General features: G+C 36.8%; 1 protein-coding gene across 1 annotated transcript in view, besides 3 other annotated features; it reads right to left on the bottom strand.

The window, feature by feature from the left end:
• CFTR (CF transmembrane conductance regulator) overlaps positions 1-18,201 on the bottom strand; it is a 188,641-nt gene that overhangs the window by 152,518 nt on the left and 17,922 nt on the right. Inside the window, exons 2-3 of the mRNA NM_000492.4 lie at positions 11,785-11,895; positions 7,006-7,114 (exon numbers count right to left, since the gene is read on the bottom strand). Coding sequence (NP_000483.3) covers positions 7,006-7,114; positions 11,785-11,895 — 220 coding nt within the window. The remainder of the gene's footprint in view (positions 1-7,005; positions 7,115-11,784; positions 11,896-18,201) is intronic.
• Positions 6,005-6,605: a DNaseI hypersensitive site, noted in NCBI's record as "DHS3 or 405 + 0.7 kb DHS observed in Caco2 and MCF7 cells; the nucleotide coordinates are approximate for this feature". NCBI's record gives the evidence for it as "EXISTENCE:in vivo cleavage assay evidence [ECO:0001075][PMID:10708521, PMID:11856314]".
• Positions 6,297-6,335: a protein binding site, noted in NCBI's record as "CArG box 8 oligonucleotide or 405 + 1 kb SRF-binding site". NCBI's record gives the evidence for it as "EXISTENCE:protein binding evidence [ECO:0000024][PMID:16170155]".
• Positions 7,085-7,685: a DNaseI hypersensitive site, noted in NCBI's record as "DHS2 or 296 + 4.4 kb DHS observed in Caco2 and MCF7 cells; the nucleotide coordinates are approximate for this feature". NCBI's record gives the evidence for it as "EXISTENCE:in vivo cleavage assay evidence [ECO:0001075][PMID:10708521, PMID:11856314]".

The following is an 18,201-nucleotide window of genomic DNA, read 5'->3' as shown; positions in this document are numbered from 1 at the left end:
GACACTAGTTAGCTAAAATAATGCAAGATGCACCATATTCCTACAAAGGAATGAAAGAACTAATATCTCATCGTCTCATATCCAGTCTAAGTTGCAAAACCATTATCACAAGCAATTTCTAATTTGAAAATAGATTTGGTTCCAAAATTTCACAAATAAGAACAAGAAATGAATTTTGTTTACACCAACAACAGGCAGCAGAGAGGCAAATCAAGAATGAATTCCCATTCACAATCACTACAAAGAGAACAAAATACCTAGGAACACAGCTAACAAAGGATGTGAAAGACCTCTTTAAGGAGAACTACAAACCACTGCTCAAGGAAATAAGAGAGAACACAAACAAATGGAAAAAGTGTCGTCCTTACGGATAGAAAGAATCAATATTGTGAACATGGCTATACTGCCCAAAGTAATTTATAATTTCAATGCTATTCCCATCAAACTACCATTGACATTCTTCACAGAATAAAAAAAAATTATTTTAAATTTCATATGGAATCAAAGAAGACTCCATATAGCCAAGACAATCCTAAGCAAAAAGAACAAAGCTGGAGGCATCACGCTACCAGACTTCAAAATATACTACAAGGCTACGGTAACCAAAACAGCATGGGACTGGTACGATAACAGACATATAGACCAATGGTGCAGAACAGAGACCTCAGAAATAACACCACACATCTACAACCATCTGATCTTCGACAAATCTGACAAAAACAAGCAATGAGGAAAAGATCTCCTATTCAGTAAATGGTGGTGGGAAAACTGCCTAGCCATTATGCATAAAACTGAAACTGGACCCCTTCCTTATACCTTATACAAAAATTAACTCAAGATGTATTAAAGACTTAAATGTAAAACCCAAAACTATAAAAACCCTAGAAGAAAACCTACGCAATACCATTCAGGACATAGGCACGGGCAAAGACTTCACGAGGAAAATGCCAAAAGCAATTGCAAAAAAAGCCAAAATTGACAAATTGGATCTAATTAAACTAAAGAGCTTCTGCACAGCAAAAGAACCTATCATCAGAGTGAACAGGCAACCTACAAAATGGGAGAAAATTTTTGCAATCTATCCATCTGACAAAGATCTAATTTCCAGAATTTACAAGGCACTTAAACAAATTCACAAGAAAAAAAAAACCCTATTAAGGTGGGCAAAGGATATGAACAGACACTTCACAAAAGACATTTACATGGCCAACAAACATATTTTAAAAATCTCAGCATCACTGATCATCAGATAAATGCAAATCAAAACCACAATGAGATACCATCTCATGCCAGTCAGAATAGCAGTTATTAAAATGTTAGGAAACAATAGATGCTGGTGAGGCTGTGGAGAAATAGGAACGCTTTTACACTGTTAGTGGGAGTGTAAATTAGTTCAACCATTGTGGAAGACAGTGTGGCGATTCCTCAAGTATCTAGAACCAGAAATGCCATTTGACCCAGCAATCTCATTACTGGGTATATACCCAAAGTAATATAAATCATTCTACTATAAAGACACATGGACATATATGTTTACTGCAGAACTATTTACAATAGCAAAGACATGGAACCAACCCAAATGCCCATCAATGACAGACTGGATAAAGAAAATGTGGTACATATACATCATGGAATACTATGCAGCCATAAAAAGGAATGAGATCATGTCCTTTGCAGGGACGTGGATGAAGCTGGAAACTATCATCCTCAGCAAATTAACACAGGAACAGAAAATCAAACACCATGTGTTCTCACTCGTAAAAGGGAGTTGAACATTGAGAACAGGTGGACCCAGAGAGGGGAACAACATACACCAGGGCCTGTTGGGAAGTAAGGAGTAGGGGAGGGAACTTAGAGGATGGGTCAATAGGTGCAACAAACTACCATGGCACATTATACCTATGTAACAAACCTGCATGTTCCGCACATGTATCTCGTTGTTGGATTTTTTTTTAGAAGAAAAAATAAAAAAAAAATTAAACTAAACAGTTCTTCCTATGGATACCACTCTCCAATTTCCTCACCTTAGATCTAGCAAAAGTCAAATCATTAAGTGATCATGCTGATGCCTGTCTACAAATAGTTCTCAACTTTGGCTATATAATTAGAATCGCTTGGGGAATATTTCAAGAATGATAGTGTCCCAGGTTTTATCCCAGACCAATTAAATTACATTTTCTGGGGTAGGGCAGAGTTGCATCATGGGAACTAAGGGGAAGATGTACAATGCAGTAGGCAGCACAAGAAAGTGCATCTGTGTTAGAGATGGAGTTTAGGATGGGGTAAAATATTCAGGACATAGGAGATTGTGGGGAGTGCAGTGTCACTCTAGGGTTAGAGAAGCAGCTAGATAAGGGGGTGAGACAGAAAGATGAGAAAGGAATTCTACATGGCAGACATTTAGAAGATTTGCTGGAGATAGCAGTCCCTAGATAGCCAATCACAGGAAGAGATATACATAAATCAAAGTGCCTAAGCCACAGGCTCTCTATGCACAGAATTCCCGAGAGAACACCATCCCTTCTTTAGGGAAGTAAATAAAAATAGTTTACCCCCACATATATTTCATTCACATATTTTGAAATGGTTGCCACAGGCCCAGCAGATAGAAGTGGACCTGCAAAGCTGTATTTTGTGGGAGAAATTTGCATCTGTAGAAAATGTGTTAGTGCAGCCAGGCTCTCCCTTTCTAGACCTTTTTTTTTTTTTTCAAATCTAGGAGAGATTAACTGAGAATCTGACACCTGCCAAGGTCTGAAAAGAAACATTCTCCATCTATTTTCTCTGTGGGCTGCCAACGATTTACCTACAAAACAAGACCCCCTTTGCTACCCAAGTCTCTTCCTTTCTCCTTCTCATAACCTGTCTTGCCACTGAAACCTGTTTTACAAAGATCCAAACCCCCATTCTTTCTGTAACCTCAAGATGGTATACAAGCTTCCATACTGCACTGAGAGGGTAGGTCTTCATCCTGAAGGCTCCCATGTATACATGTCAAATACATTTATGTGCTTTTCCTCTTATCAATCTGCCTCCTGTCAGTAATATTTCAGCAAACCTTTAGGGGGCCAAAGACCTTAGCCCCATATTAGCAGTAGGCTTGTATTCAAATGCCTACCCAATGTTTTCATCCAAACATAAGGGACAGAGATCCTCCTTTGCCATATAGACTGTAGTCTGCAACATGAGTACCAGGACTTCTCCTGTATGTCCTTTAATTTTGTGAGGTTTAATGAAAAAAGGTAGTCTGACCTAGGCTGCACTGACATATGCCTCAATTTGTTGGTGGAAATATGCCCAGAGCTGCCTAGGAATCAAGAGTATTTTGAATGAATGCTTGTGAATTTCTTATCATAATAAATGCATTGTATAATCATATTCTCTCACCAATCTGCTTGTGAGAGCTTCCTCTACTTGGCTTCCCTCAAACTATCCTTGACTGACTCTCACATTCAGGTTTTCAACAGCCAGTTTCTCTTCCATGCTAGGAGTCTTTTTTTTTTTTTTTTTTTTTGAGATGGAGTCTCGCTCTGTCACCCAGGCTGGAGTGCAGTGGTGCGATCTCAGCTCACTGCAACCTCTGCCTCCCAGGTTCAAGCTATTCTCCTGCCTCAGCCTCCCAAGTAGCTGGGACCACAGGTGCCCGCCACCACGCCACCACACCTGGCTGATTTTTGTACTTTTAGTAGAGACAGGGTTTCACCATATTGGCCAGGCTGGTCTCAAACTCCTGACCTTGTGATTTGCCCACCTCGGCCTCCCAAAGTGCTGGGATTACAGGTGTGAGCCCCCGTGCCCGGACTTGCTAGGAGTCTTAAATGTTAAAGACAATGTTGCATCTATCTGGCTGCTGAGTCAGATGAAGAAAAAGCAAGTGCATAGTTAATGGTGAGAAGTCATAGCTAATAATATTTAAAACTACAGCAGTACTTCAGAAAGATTAGCTCCTTCATGATGGCACCTCCTTTTTTTTAACCTTTCACAGTTAACAGCAAATTTTATAGTACTTTTCTCTATCAGTCCTGAAACCAAGCAAATATTTTTATGCCACAACTATCATTGTTTAGAGGGACTAAGAATGTGTAGAGATTCTGAAAGTATGACCATCTATTTCTAAGAGAAGTGTTACAGTAGTTTCAAGAATCCCTGGCTCATTTATCCTTGCTCAGTGAAAGAAAAGAAGAAATACCCATAAATAATACCATAAATAGGAAGGCACTGGTGTAAGTTATGTAAAAGGACAGAGAAAATGTAGAGAAATACTATAATGGCTAAATTTTCTCCCCCCCTTTTATTCTTATAAGAGACAAAAAGAATGAAATCAAGAGATCAGATATCCTGAAAAAACTGCAATAATCTAAATGGCCACTATGTTTATCTAAATTATTTAAGATCTAACAATTTGCAAATTTCTCACTATTTAAAACTGCATGGTGTCAGCGTGGTTTTTTCTCTATGACAAGGGTGAAAAACCTGCAGCCTCATCACACTTGTGCCATTCCCAATATAAATATTCTTCTCTCTGCCTTCTCACCTACACATTTCAGCTGCTTCTTCCCCCAGGATCCTTTACTCACCAATATTCCATTGGTTATCAGTAGGAGTTGAGATGATGGAAACACGCTTTCCCCTTCAAAGGTGCTGCTAGTTCCAAAGCTGTAGCCTCGGGCTCAGGAGTACCTTTCCACTCACCCCCATGCATGGATAATTAATACGCCATGAAGGGCTTTTACGATCTCTTTTGCTGGGATATTTTTAAGCTTGAGAAGTTTAAGAACAATTTAGTCTTTCTCCATACATACTCCATTCTCCTATCCCTTTTTTTGTCTATAGGTTTGGCCCTTAGCATGACTGGTTCTTGGGTGGATTTCATACAGTTCCTCCCCCAGGTATAAGTAAGTGAGAAGATCTCGTTGATTCCTGTCCTGAAGAAAGTTTCAGATTTGCCCCTGAAGTGACCCTGGAAGAATCCTCAGCCTTCAAGCTCTGTAGCCTGTGTCTCCTGAGAAGACGCAGAGAAGCTCAGCAGAACCAAGGCTGGTTACTAGAGTCACCATTCTGTTGAGTACCTAAATACAATCATTATAATTATAATTATATATTAATAGCAATCATAATCTGGTATGGTGAAAGGGTCAAAGGCTTTGGAGCTAAAGAGACTGGGATATCTCTCAAACTTACCATATGTGTAACTTTGGGAAAGTTACTTAATTTGCCTCACGCTCAACTTCCTGTTATATAAATTAGAGATAATTTTTGCTCCATGGAGTTACTAGGAAAATTAAGTAAAATAATCTGCATAAAGACCTTCATATTGAACTGGAACAGATTAGGTACTCAATAAATATTAAATTCTTCTATATCATGTTTATTTTTTGGCATGCACCAGACCAAAAAAAATTCTATAGATATGTCCATGTATCATACAAACTTTGACATTTAGGTGGGTGTTTTTGCATACATGAAACTACTATGTTGGTGGGATCTAGAGAAATAAATTATTTTACAAGCCAAGCAGAGCATAGAAAGGGGCCTTCTAATTAGACCCCTCTTCCAGCTTCTACTCAGTAGTGCTTAGGTTAATCAATAGAAGCAGCATGCAATGGAGAACACAACCAGGAGAAATTTTGAGTTTCACTGAAATCTTGGCCATGACATAACAATTACTTGAAATATCATTCACTTCAATCCAACAATCACTTATTGAAAATGTTATATACTTACATGATTTATATGATAGGATCAGAGTGAACTGTACTCCATACCCTGATTCAAAGCAACCAGCAAAACTTATTTTCTAAAAATTACATCAAATAGAATCAGAAGCTGTGAATAAAATTGTTTCTCAAAGCTCTGGGTGGTGCTCTGATTGAGAAAAATCATCTCAAAGGTAACTTAAAAGTAATTTAATTATCCAGCTACCTCATTTAAATTTACTAATAAAATACTTTTTACCCCCAAATGCCCAAATGGTTTCAGATTTCCATAAGAATATATATTATGGATCTATTATTTCAAAAGTCAGAAAAATTTCTTCTAGGAAATTATCAAGAGCATTAGAGAACATTCTGGGCCTAAGTGTACTCATCTTTGTTAAGATAAGTTTTAAATGTATTTTTCATGGGGGTGTATGAACTGAAATTTTTCAAGCAATGTAACACAAATGGCATTTCTCTGGGAGACACTGTTTAACTCCCTGAGGCATAAAGACCAATATAAACACAAGTCAATCCATATGATAAGTAAACGCCCCAAAGCAAATATTGTGCACAGCTTTAACAAGAAGATTAAACAAGTCTTGAATCTGTCTCCTTTTATAGGTTACAACCAAGGATTCAAATAATGCTTTCATGATGTAGAAAATAATAAATCAGAGTCACATTGGACAGCAACTGGGGAACATACAAGGCACTTAAACACCACAAAGCCTGGATTTTCAGGTGTGCAACTTTTCACACTGATGAGATGTAAGATATTAAGAAAATATATTGCAAGAGAACTTTAAATTTTTAGTATTATTTATTTAGTATTTAAAGCTGCTATACTTTAAATTTTTAGTGTTTTTCTTTGAAACAATTCACCATGCAGATATGATTTCAAAATATTACAAACATTCATATATGTAATTAGCTGCATTTGACCTAATTCTGCTGACATTGTCTCCTGACACTCTCCTGTTGAATACAGCAAAATAAAGGCACCAGTAATCTCATGTACTAGTAAGATAATGTGATTTGGAATCATAACAGAAAATAATTTTTTAAGCAAGCAATTTATTTTGCTGAGCCCATTGAGATTGTAAATTGCCACCCGTGTTCCAGGACATTTTAGTTCCAAAGGATTTTTACTTATCCTTACTAGAGTTTTAGGTGGTTTCTTAGTGTTTGGAGTTGGATTCATCCTTTATATTTTTACACCTATTCACCAGATTTCGTAGTCTTTTCATAATCACAAAAATGAATATAGTTATGTGATACATAATGAATGTACAAATGAGATCCTTACCCCTAAATATAAAAAGATTCCATAGAACATAAATCTCCAGAAAAAACATCGCCGAAGGGCATTAATGAGTTTAGGATTTTTCTTTGAAGCCAGCTCTCTATCCCATTCTCTGCAAAAGAATAAAAAGTGGGACCAATAAGTTGCATGTGCAAATATTTTAGTTGTCCTATTTCCCTTAACATAGTTTGATTCACACAAGTATATCCAAGGAGATTAACCCAAGTATTATAGAGACAAAATCTCATGGAGACCATACAACACCAAACACTCAGCCAGATATTTGGCAGAATTCAATGCTCTGCCATATATCACTGTGCAGGGAATTGATTTCATGAAAAGGCCACATTGTATGTGTTAAAGAAAAGTGTTGGGCTTCTAAAAAACAATGAAAAGGGTGGACAAATAAAGTAAGGCTTTTACGAATGCTCATTGCTGTGCTTAGAACAAGGTGGAAAAAATAAACACACAAACATTCTACATTTTTCCCTTATACCTTGATCTTTATTGGTTTAGAACTGTGGCAGATTTATAAGATTTCACTGTCAAATCAAAAACAAGTTAAAATGTCAGGTGGCTTTTTCTGTGATTTAACATGAGAAAAATCTGTTAGACTTTGTTTTTAAAAGTAGAGGCATAAACTATCATTAAACTTCATTTTCAACTACTAAAATCATGTATTAAAGGTCTTTGAAAAATGAGAACAAGATCAAATTATATATTTTCTATTATAGTAAGAATAGACATTAAATAGTCTGAAAACTGGCTGAAATCTAGTAAACTTTCTGTTTTCTTTTAAATACTATAGGAACACCAGCTGATTGTATTTATTAAGTTATTGCCACTGATTTCTGTTAATGAAAGCCTTTTTTCTCTTCACAAAGGAATAAAATATCTCTAAATATTATCATCTTAATTTTCAAACTGTACAGAGATGAAAAATTTCATGAACCACAAGGAAGAACTAGGTAAACAATTAGACAAAGGCTTTACGTTTCATCAGTGGTTATTCCCATTACTGTCAAGTTACCATAAGTAAACATGGCTCTAAATCACTCTAAAGGAGTAATAGGCCGGGGCAGTGGCTCACGCCACTAATCCCAACACTTTGGGAGGCCAAGGCGGGCAGATCACTTGAGGTCAGGAGTTCAAGACCAGCCTGGCCAGCATAGCAAAACCCCGTCTCTACAAAAATTAGCCAGGCCTGGTGGTGCATGCCTGTAGTCCCAGCTACTCAGGAGACTGAGATTCGCTTGAACCCAGGAGGCAGAGTTTGCAGTGAGCTGAGATCACACCACTACACTCCAGCCTGGGTGACACAGCGAGACTCTGTCTCAAAAACAAACAACACAAACAAACAAAAAACATAAAGGAGTAATACACAGCTGAGATTTGAAGACAAGCCTGGCAATCTCTAAGCATGGATCTTGGCATCCCCTAGAAGCTTGCTAATGAGAGCCCTTCTATAAAGCCTAATTACCTTTTCCCATCTATTTCCCTCCCCACATGCTTCTCCACCTTTCTCTCACACACAGAGCTAACCTCCCATCCATAACATTTGGTTACTCAGAGTAAGAAGCTAAATATGGAGCAGACTCACCTTCTCCATCAAAGGAGAAATGGATCAGATGGGAAAGCCAAGGAAGGGGTGTGTACATAAACCAACAAAATGGGTTCAATGTGAAAAAGTGGTCCACACGGAAGTAATGTAGAAAGGTGTTGTTATATTTCATAAGAGGTCTCTAGTGACCCTGGGCAATGTAGTTTTAGGAACATGGTGGAAACCATACTTCAGGAGCTGAGATGTAAATGAAAGTGAAGTAGAGAGACCAGGAGAGCAGAGAATGTTAGCTATGAAAGAAAAAATAGAATGGGGTAGTTACCTGAGGAGAAGGCAAGGTCGGGGAATTTCTTTAATGGGTGAAACTTGAACAACTTGGTGCCACAAATTGTTAGCACCAAGAGTAGGTGATGTGGTTCTAGTAGGACCACATACCAGGCCCAGATCAGAAGGGAAGAAGTTTTATTCTTAAAAAGTTCATATCCTGACTACAATCTTGGAACGGATGTGTGGTTTGCACACTGCAGTTATGTAGAGGATTCAATCCATGGTCACAAAATTGAGCCAGATAGGTTAATGTTCTTCAACCATCTGGCAACCACTTGAGGGCCATGGTCACAAGGCAGTTATGAAATGTGAAGCCAGGGTCACTTCCCAAGGGTGCAGAGGTACAAAGTACCAAAAATGGTATGTCACTCTTCCAAAATATTTCAATAAATTTCAAATACCAATTTTATAAGAAAAGAAGTAACAGGGTGGAGATACAAAAACAAAACAAAACAAAAATAATAGAACGTATGGGTTTGTACTGGCATAGCATTGTTGAATTGAAGTAAAATAGGTATATTTTTTAAATTGAATCAACATGGGGGATACAGTGAAAACTGGAAAGAAAAAAATGTTAAGCCAGATAATTCTGCAAATTCAGATTCATGTTCTCTATCTGGCCATAAATACAAATGTATCACATTTTTCAATTAACCCAGCCCTACTCTGATTAATCATTCCCTCAGCATCCAATTAAAACTTAGATATTCAAAGCTGGGCATAGTGGCTCACACCTATAATCCCAGCATTTTGGGAGGCCAAGGTGGGCAGATCACTTGAGGTCAGGAGTTCAAGACCAGCCTGGCCAACATGGCGAAACTCCACATCTACTAAAATACAAAAATTAGCCAGGCATTGTGGCGAGTGCCTGTAAACCCAGCTACTCGAGAGGCTGAGGCAGGAGAATCACTTGAACCCAGGAGACGAAGTTTGCAGTGAGCCAAAATTGCACCATTACACTCCAGCCTGGGCAACAGAGCAAGACTCTGTCTCAAAAACAACAGCAACAACAACAACAAACATTTAGATATTCAATACCCATTATATTATTTTGAACTTGTCAATATACCTGCAATGGATTATGTTTATATATTTTATCTCTCCAGCAATGCTACAGGTTTCTATGTAATGCTAGCCATTTCACATTCCATCATGGATTCATTCAACAAATATTTATTGAGTATATACCATATGCCAGGCCCTATTCTAGGCACTTGGGGATACATCATAAACAAAAGAGATCGAACCCAATAAAAAATAAAAAACAAAACAAAGTATCCCTACCTCATGGCATTTGCACACACCAAGTGTTCAATAATAGAAGCTGGCCCTTGATCTTAGAAGTGTGAATCTGCTACTCCCACTAGCTTAATTCTTTGAATAAAATCAATAAAAATAAAGTTTAATATCTTACTTTGCCTTCAAAATGCCAAAAAAAGGAAATGAATTTAATTAAAAGAAACAAATTGCAAGTCAACTCAATGTTTTTACTTTGGTGCAATAATTTAGTAGCTATGTCTTATTTTTTATCCCCCTTCACTCACCCTTTTATCTGGCATCAGGCCTGTGCTGTTGGCACGAGACTCAGCCTAGTTCATTCTAGACTATGAGTGGCCCAAGGGGTAAGCACTATGACTCAAGAGTCTCTGGGATTTTTCACATTTAGCCAAGGACAAAGGGCTCCTTCTTTCGTGGTCCTTAAAGATAGGAGCAAAGAGTTCTAACCAGGGACCCACTTTATGTAGAAAGCTGGTCCGGTCTGAGAAAATAAAACCAGCATAAGGCAAATGCCACCAGGTGGCATTTGAGTCCTTGGTCCCATTGAGTTCCTAAGGCCAGTTCTCCACCTAGGTCTTCACATAGTTCAGGCTTCATGAGCCAATAAATTCGTTCCTTTTATTTACTTAAGCTAGTAAATTGGGTTTCTGTCACTGGCAATCAAAAGGATCCTAACCTTTTGATTGGAAAGGAAACTGAGAGATTCTTTATGGGGGGGACTACCATTCCTAGAGAGCAAGGCAATACAGACCTCAGCTGGAATCATGGCTCCATCATTCATTAACTGGCAAAGTATATTATCTCTCTGAGCCTCAGTTTGCTTTTCTGTAAAATAGAGATAATGATGCTTTCCACTCAGAGTGGCTGAGAGGAGATATTCTACCTGGCATGTAACAGGTACTCAAAAATATACAATTTTTACATTTGTTTGATAACCAGTAGCCATTACCTTAAGACTTCCCAGGGAGTACATTTGTATTCAAATATAAAGGTTTTGAAAGCAAATATACACGATTTACTTCATAATGGTGTTACTTTAGTTTTCACAAAATCCATCTCATGGTCTCTAATAAGACAAATTCTCTGAAACCAAATGTGTATTTTTCAGGAAAAAAAATCATTTCTTAGGAAACTGATTATTTTTCTTTTATGATTTTATTGTTTAATGATTTCAGTCAACATTTCAGTGTGAAAATGAGATGTTCCTTTTTTTTTTTTTTTTTAGAGAGAGAGGGTTTTGCTGTGTCACCCAAGCTGGAGTGCAGTGGCACAATCATAGCTCACTGCAACCTCAAACTCCTGGGCTCAAGTAACCCTCCTGCTTCAGCCTCCTGAGTAGCTGGGAATACAAGCATGCACTACCATTCCCAGCTAACTTTTTTATTTTGTGTAGAGATAACATCTTGCTATGTTGCCCAGGCTGGTATCAAACTCCTGGTCTCAAGCAATCCTCTCATCTTGGCCTCCCAAATAGTTGGGATTACAGGCATTAGCCACCATACTTGGCTCCTATTTTTAAATATAAGAATTAAACTTATAATATGTTTGCTTTCTCTTCTCTAAATAATTAATAATATGAATTTCTCTCTTCAACTAAACAATGTACATGAACATACCTTTCCAATTTTTCAGATAGATTGTCAGCAGAATCAACAGAAGGGATTTGGTATATGTCTGACAATTCCAGGCGCTGTCTGTATCCTTTCCTCAAAATTGGTCTGGTCCAGCTAAAATAAAGAGAGGAGGAACAGATATTCACTTGATTTGGTCTCCATACAGATTTGGAATCTGATACTATTCAACTTTTCTGGCATATGGAAAATTATGCACATGTAAATATGAGAATAAAATAAGTCAATTTCTATAAATACCAGGCTTCATCTCTTACAGGCTACACCTGTATAAAACATCAATATCTCTGAACTAATGTGACTGTCACTTTGTCAAAGGGATTGGGAGGGAATAATAGTATGGTTTTTCCCAGGGAAAAAACAAACTGCTAAACATTCCATATTTAAATTATTCTTTAAAAAATAACTGCCCCCAAATAATCATATACTAGCAGTTTATAGCAAATTACTGAAGTCCAGCCTCTTCCATTTCAAATATAAAAAAACTCTGAATAAGACATGCACTTAATCAACATTTAATCAACAGCCTTATATAATTTTGTTACTGTAGCATGCATACTCAGTAATGAGCTATTCATTGAAAGAATGACTATAGCCAGAGAGTTAGTGATTAGTTTCTATCAATTTGTTGACTTAATTATCATGTCTGAATCATTACCTGAGGGTAGGATCATAACTTTCTTATGTTTTGTCTCCTCACTCCATAGCAGCTACACTCATCTGCCCTCTAGGCATCAATAAATAATAATTTATAATGGAAATTAGTAAAGTTGGCATGGGAAATCACTATGCAGGATACCGTAGTGATTTTCAAAAATATTGTTTCTAACTGTTGAGGATAAGGCAGAATAATCTTCATAAAGATAGGAAAATCTAGAAAGAAGAAAGTAGAAGAGGAGGCAGAAGAAGGATTGTGAAATCAATCATGTACAAAGAGAAATTTCTAAATAAAATTCGAGAGCACGAGAGCTTTCTCAGGTAAAATTGAATATATTTATTAAAGAAAGGAATTGAACTGGGATTTAGTGAGTCCCAAACCTATGCTTTTTCCCTCAGCATCTTTCTTTTCTCTGGAGAGTTCTAAAATTTGTGTCATTCAGACCTTATTTGGTAATGTATCAAAATGCATGTTAAAGCACCAAAATTCAAAAGGGAGTGCTTTAGCAATATCTGAGAAGCAGGATAAATTCATTATAGAAAAGATATTCTAGCAAAGCCATTCAGAACAAAAAGAGAAAGGGCTATGCCAAATGCAAACATTTTGACACTGTTCTGGGGCAAAACTTTGCCAGTGGCCCTCATATCCAATCTCACTGCTCCCACCCAGGTCCTTCTTTATACTTCCTTGGTCTGGAACTTCTTCAGTAGGCACCTGCCCTGGGTTCTCGATATCTCTACAACTTGTCCTTCATTAAAACTTAACTGAATTAGGGCTCTAAGGTTAAGTAACTTCATCAATTATTCCTTACTAAGATATTAATAAGTGAGTATGGTTTACTATGTCATATTTTTTCCATTAATTTGCAATATCCGCATTTTAACAAGAGCTGTCTTTAACAAAGAGCGATAATTAGGTTTACCCTTCATTGCCCAGTCTGATTCATTTGTAATTTTTCCTGGAGAGCAATAAAGAAAATAGTTGAGGCCAGTCTGAATACAGCAGGAAAATGAATGCCATGATCATGCAAGGTCTTCAGTGGACATCATCTGAGAAAGTGATGGCACACCCACCTGGTGCATACTATCCCAGTATCTAACATAAAGAACAGAAGGAAAGTCGAACATACAGGTGGCAATTAGGCTGTAAAAAAATCTGGGACAGCAATTTATGATATAATTTAGATTATGAGCCCTTGTAAACTAAAGTCAAGAAGTGAAAAAGGTGAAGTAAGTGTTTACTACTAATAAAAACCCGTGTATTTAGCGCTTTCCAAAGTGCCTTCATAAACATGAGCAGGTTGTGGTTTTCATTTGAAAATCTTCTTAAATGGGTAGAACTAAAAGGGATCATTGCTCAATTTTATTGATAAAGAGATGGAGGCTTAGAGATGCTAAACTTTACTAAATGGCAAAGCCTAGGTCTTTCCACATTCTTTTGACTTCATTCATTCTTTTACCATGTTCAACTTTCCCTATTTAAGAAAATTTGGTATGCTGGGTTGTGCTAGACAGACAGCTGGGAGAGGAGCCTGAAAGCAGGAAGAACAAAAGATAGCAGACTGCATGTAGTGGTGTTGCATGCAGGCAAATATTTAACAATCCCCTCTCCGGAAAACAAAAACAAAAACAAAAACTGACTTACGGCATTTGCCAATTTCTATGATATAAATACTCTCATCGTCATCATTTTAAAGCAACCAAATATAAAGTCATTGAACACAGAGTTGGGAAGGGATACACAGTTGCATATTAGAATATAGTACAATGAAAGTGCAATAGAATATAGTCCACCTTTCAAATACAATGAAGGCAAATAACGTTAATAGCATAGATAATAGTAAAATGCAAAATAATTAGGAAGTGATAATTTTTGTTTTTTTGTTTGTTTGCTTTTTGTTTTTTTTTTTTTTTTGTTTCTTTTTTTTTTTTTTTTTTTTTTTTGAGACAGAGTTTCACTCTTGTTGCCCAGGCTGGAGCGCAATGGCGCAATCTCAGCTCACCACAACCTCCACCTCCTGGGTTCAAGCAATTCTCCTGCCTCAGCCTCCTGAGTAGCTGGGATTACAGGCATGCACCACCATGCCCGGCTATTTTTTTATATTTTTAGTAGAGACAGGGTTTCTCCATGTTGGTCAGGTTGGTCTCGAACCCCTGACTTCAGGCAATCCACCTGCCTCGGTCTCCCAAAGTGCTGGGATTACAGACGTGAGCCAGTGCGCCCAGCCAACTTTTGAGTTTTTAATACTTTTGTTTTAATATAATTTATTTAATTATAAGTTGAAATAATTTAATTTTTAATAATGGCCATGTTTAACAATTAGCTCACAAATTTTCTGAAAATTTAAAAATCAGCTCAGCTGGAAAGAGCTAAGTGCAGCAGATCACTTACTGCCAGATGTTTGAAAGGCTTAGAATGAGGGTAATGGCACTGTGTGTGGATGGAAAGAAAAGAACCTGTAGAACATTTAGTAAAAAGGAAAATGTGCTCCCACTATTAATAAATTCTGCATTTTCAATATGTTTGAAATTATTAAAATATGACACTATATTTACAAATGAGCAGAATTTCACTATCTGTCAATACCATACCAAAATAAGGCATTTTCAAGAAATGTAAAAATAAATCTCCTCAATCTCTTTTAAAAAATATAAACGTAACTCTTTTGGTCCTTATTTACAACCCAGTGACCTTTCCCATAAATGGCCAGTTCAGTTCAAAGTAACACAATTTGTGAGCTGCTTTTATAAAAAGCTTCCTGTGTTATCTGTGCCCATTTTAATAAGTTATGTTACACCATGACACATCGTTTTGATTAGCAAGAATGCCATAGCCTAGCATCATCAAACCAAACAAATTCAGTAATATAAAGACTTAAGTTCACCATCTATAATTATTAGTATCACTTAGTATTTCCTGGAAGATTCACTACAATAAACCTCTATTTATATCCTGAAATACAAATTGGGTTTAAGGTAAATTATGATAACTAAAATCCATTAAGCTTATGCTGCCCAACAATGACCACAGAGTCATCTTAAGGAAATATTTTATTTTGTGAGGTTAAATCAATAAAATTGAATGAAAAATATGTCCCATCAGGCCAGGCGCGGTGGCTCACGCCTGTAATCCCAGCACTTTGGGAGGCCGAGGTGGGTGGATCACCTGAGGTAAGGAGTTCGAGACCAGCCTGACCAACATGGAGAAACCCCATCTCTACTAAAAATACAAAAAAAATTAGCCAGGCATGGGGGCACATGCCTGTAATCCCAGCTACGCGGGAGGCTGAGGTGGGAGAATTGCTTGAACCTGGGAGGCGGAGGTTGCAGTGAGCCGAGATTGTGCCATTGCACTCCAGCCTGGGCAACAAGAGCAAAACTCCGTCTCAAAAAAAAAAAAAAAAAAAAAAAAAGAAAGGAAGAAAATTATGTCCCATCAAAGAATTCTCCATGCCTACCTCAAGCCAGTCTTAGAAATACAAAAAAAAACCAGACATCTATACTTAGACACTTTATGAAATATTAGTTAGTGCAAAACTCCAGCCACCCTTTCTTTTGAAAAACCCTGAGTATATTAAACCTAGAATGTTTAAATGCACAGTAAGGACTTTTCAGCATTTCTTCCACTAGAAATCAGTGATCATCCAGGTGTTTCATGAGACAAAGCAGACACACCTGGAATAACCAAAAAGCAATAAACTCGGCTCTGCCTTTCACTTGGGCCTGCTGTCTTCCCCTCTCACCTCTAGTTCATCTTATCCTTCTCTTTCATTCATAACCTCCATTCATAGCCACTACATATTGACGACAGACTTTTACATTGGTCTACTTAGAAATTTTGTTCAAAGCTCTGGCTATTTCTTTCTTTCTTATTGTCCTTTGTTTGTTTGTTTGTTTTTGTAGAGATAGGATCTCACCAGCCTGCCCAAGCTGGTTGCAAATTCCTGGGCTTAAGAGATCCTCCTGCCTTGGCCTCCCAAAGTCCTGGAATTACAGGCATGAGCCACCACCACACCCAGCCTAGTTCTGACTATTTCTAACAGAAACTAATTAATCATTCACTATGGGATAGCAAACAGAGATCCCTAAGGCATACAGATTTTACTATGTATAAGTTTTAAACTAACTTTGAAAAAAAAGTCTAGCATCCTAGATACACTGTTCTGTTCACTTAACTATAAGAGATTTCAGATTTTATTGAGGAAAAGCCCTATCACTTGATTTTTTAAACACACACACACACACACACACACACACACACAGATGAAACTATAGTAAATTTCATTTCTTAGGACAAAAATTCCAATTTTTGTATAGAGTGACTTGTAATTCCTTATAAAAAAAGAACTTGCCAATTATAATCACTATTAAAGCTTTGATTTTCATAACATATCCTCCTAAAGTCATATAATTAAAGCTTATACTCATTTTTCGATCTGACTTTTGCCTTTTATTAATCCAAAAGACGCATCTGACATTTTCATCTGCCAAAACTTCAGATGAAGGTCATGGATATCAGATCTTTTCAAGTCAAAATGATTTTTAGTGTAGAAAACAATCATGCTTCCATGTATTTAACATTACTTTTTATTTGACTAGGCAAATAAAATAAAATGCAATAAAATAAAATAGGAAATTCAAACCACTAATTGCATGACACTTCTCCCAAATATTGACATACTAATACACTTAAAGACTAATAGCCTTTTTCCTTTTTGCATGAAATAATTAACACTTGAGGAATTAATAGCAATTACTCTAGTTTGTGTAGACAAATTCAAATACATTAGAAAATTTCTGATCATCCAATGTATTTGCCATGAGTTTGAAATAGGCCACACAATCTGGATAGTCCTAACCAAAAAAAAAAAAAAACAAATGTTGAAGACAGGCAGAGGAAAGAGGGGACTCATTGGAAAAGATTGTGATCATAAATCCCAAACTTCTAGAGCACAGCTCTACCACTTTGCTTTAGTTATTTTGATAAGTGACTATGATAGGGAGGATTGATTTGAGACTAAAACTCATCTAGTGTCTATAAGGATATTTTTCTAAAATCATAAATAACATTTTGAATGTCACATTTATTTTATCCAATTTAGATTCAGAGTTATTTAGTCAGATGTATTTTTCTCAAAGAATCATAGTAAAAGTAGGACTTGACAAAGTGATACTATCCAGCTCTCTAAAGTCCTGTGTAAAACTTGTAGGCTTCAAGAATTCAATTTAAAATCGCAGTATTGGGGTCAAGTTACTAATTTCCCCTCCTCTGATTCCACAAGGTATTTAGCAGTGTTTGCTTCTTCTCCATAAAATGGTGAATTTATAAGCAGTAATCACTTGGTCAGCTTAATCAACTTTAGGGAGTATATGCTCGCTAAAGACAAGCCTTGTGTATATTTGAGTTAATTGTTCATGAGGCTTAATTTTACCAAGGGACTTGGAGAAGTTCTTTTTCTTTCTCTAGGTAGGTAAACACCATTAAAGTGGTCAATTAATTTCAGAAGCTCTGGAGAACTAATTATTTGCTGCTAAACAAAAGACTACAAACCAATACTGAAAAATCTTCTGCAGGTCCAGGATTTACAACCATACAGGCACCCTAATGGAAATTAATTTGCTAACTTCGTACCTAATGAATCCAAACATTAAATAGAAAATTGATCTACCCATTTCATGCAATGCTTCTAAACTATAAACATTATTAGGAACAGACGTATGTTAAGAAAATATCAAAAAAGATAT

This window comes from Homo sapiens, chromosome 7, assembly GCF_000001405.40.
Source record: "Homo sapiens chromosome 7, GRCh38.p14 Primary Assembly".
Taxonomy (NCBI): domain Eukaryota; kingdom Metazoa; phylum Chordata; class Mammalia; order Primates; family Hominidae; genus Homo; species Homo sapiens.
This window is presented reverse-complemented; position numbering and strand designations above follow the sequence as displayed.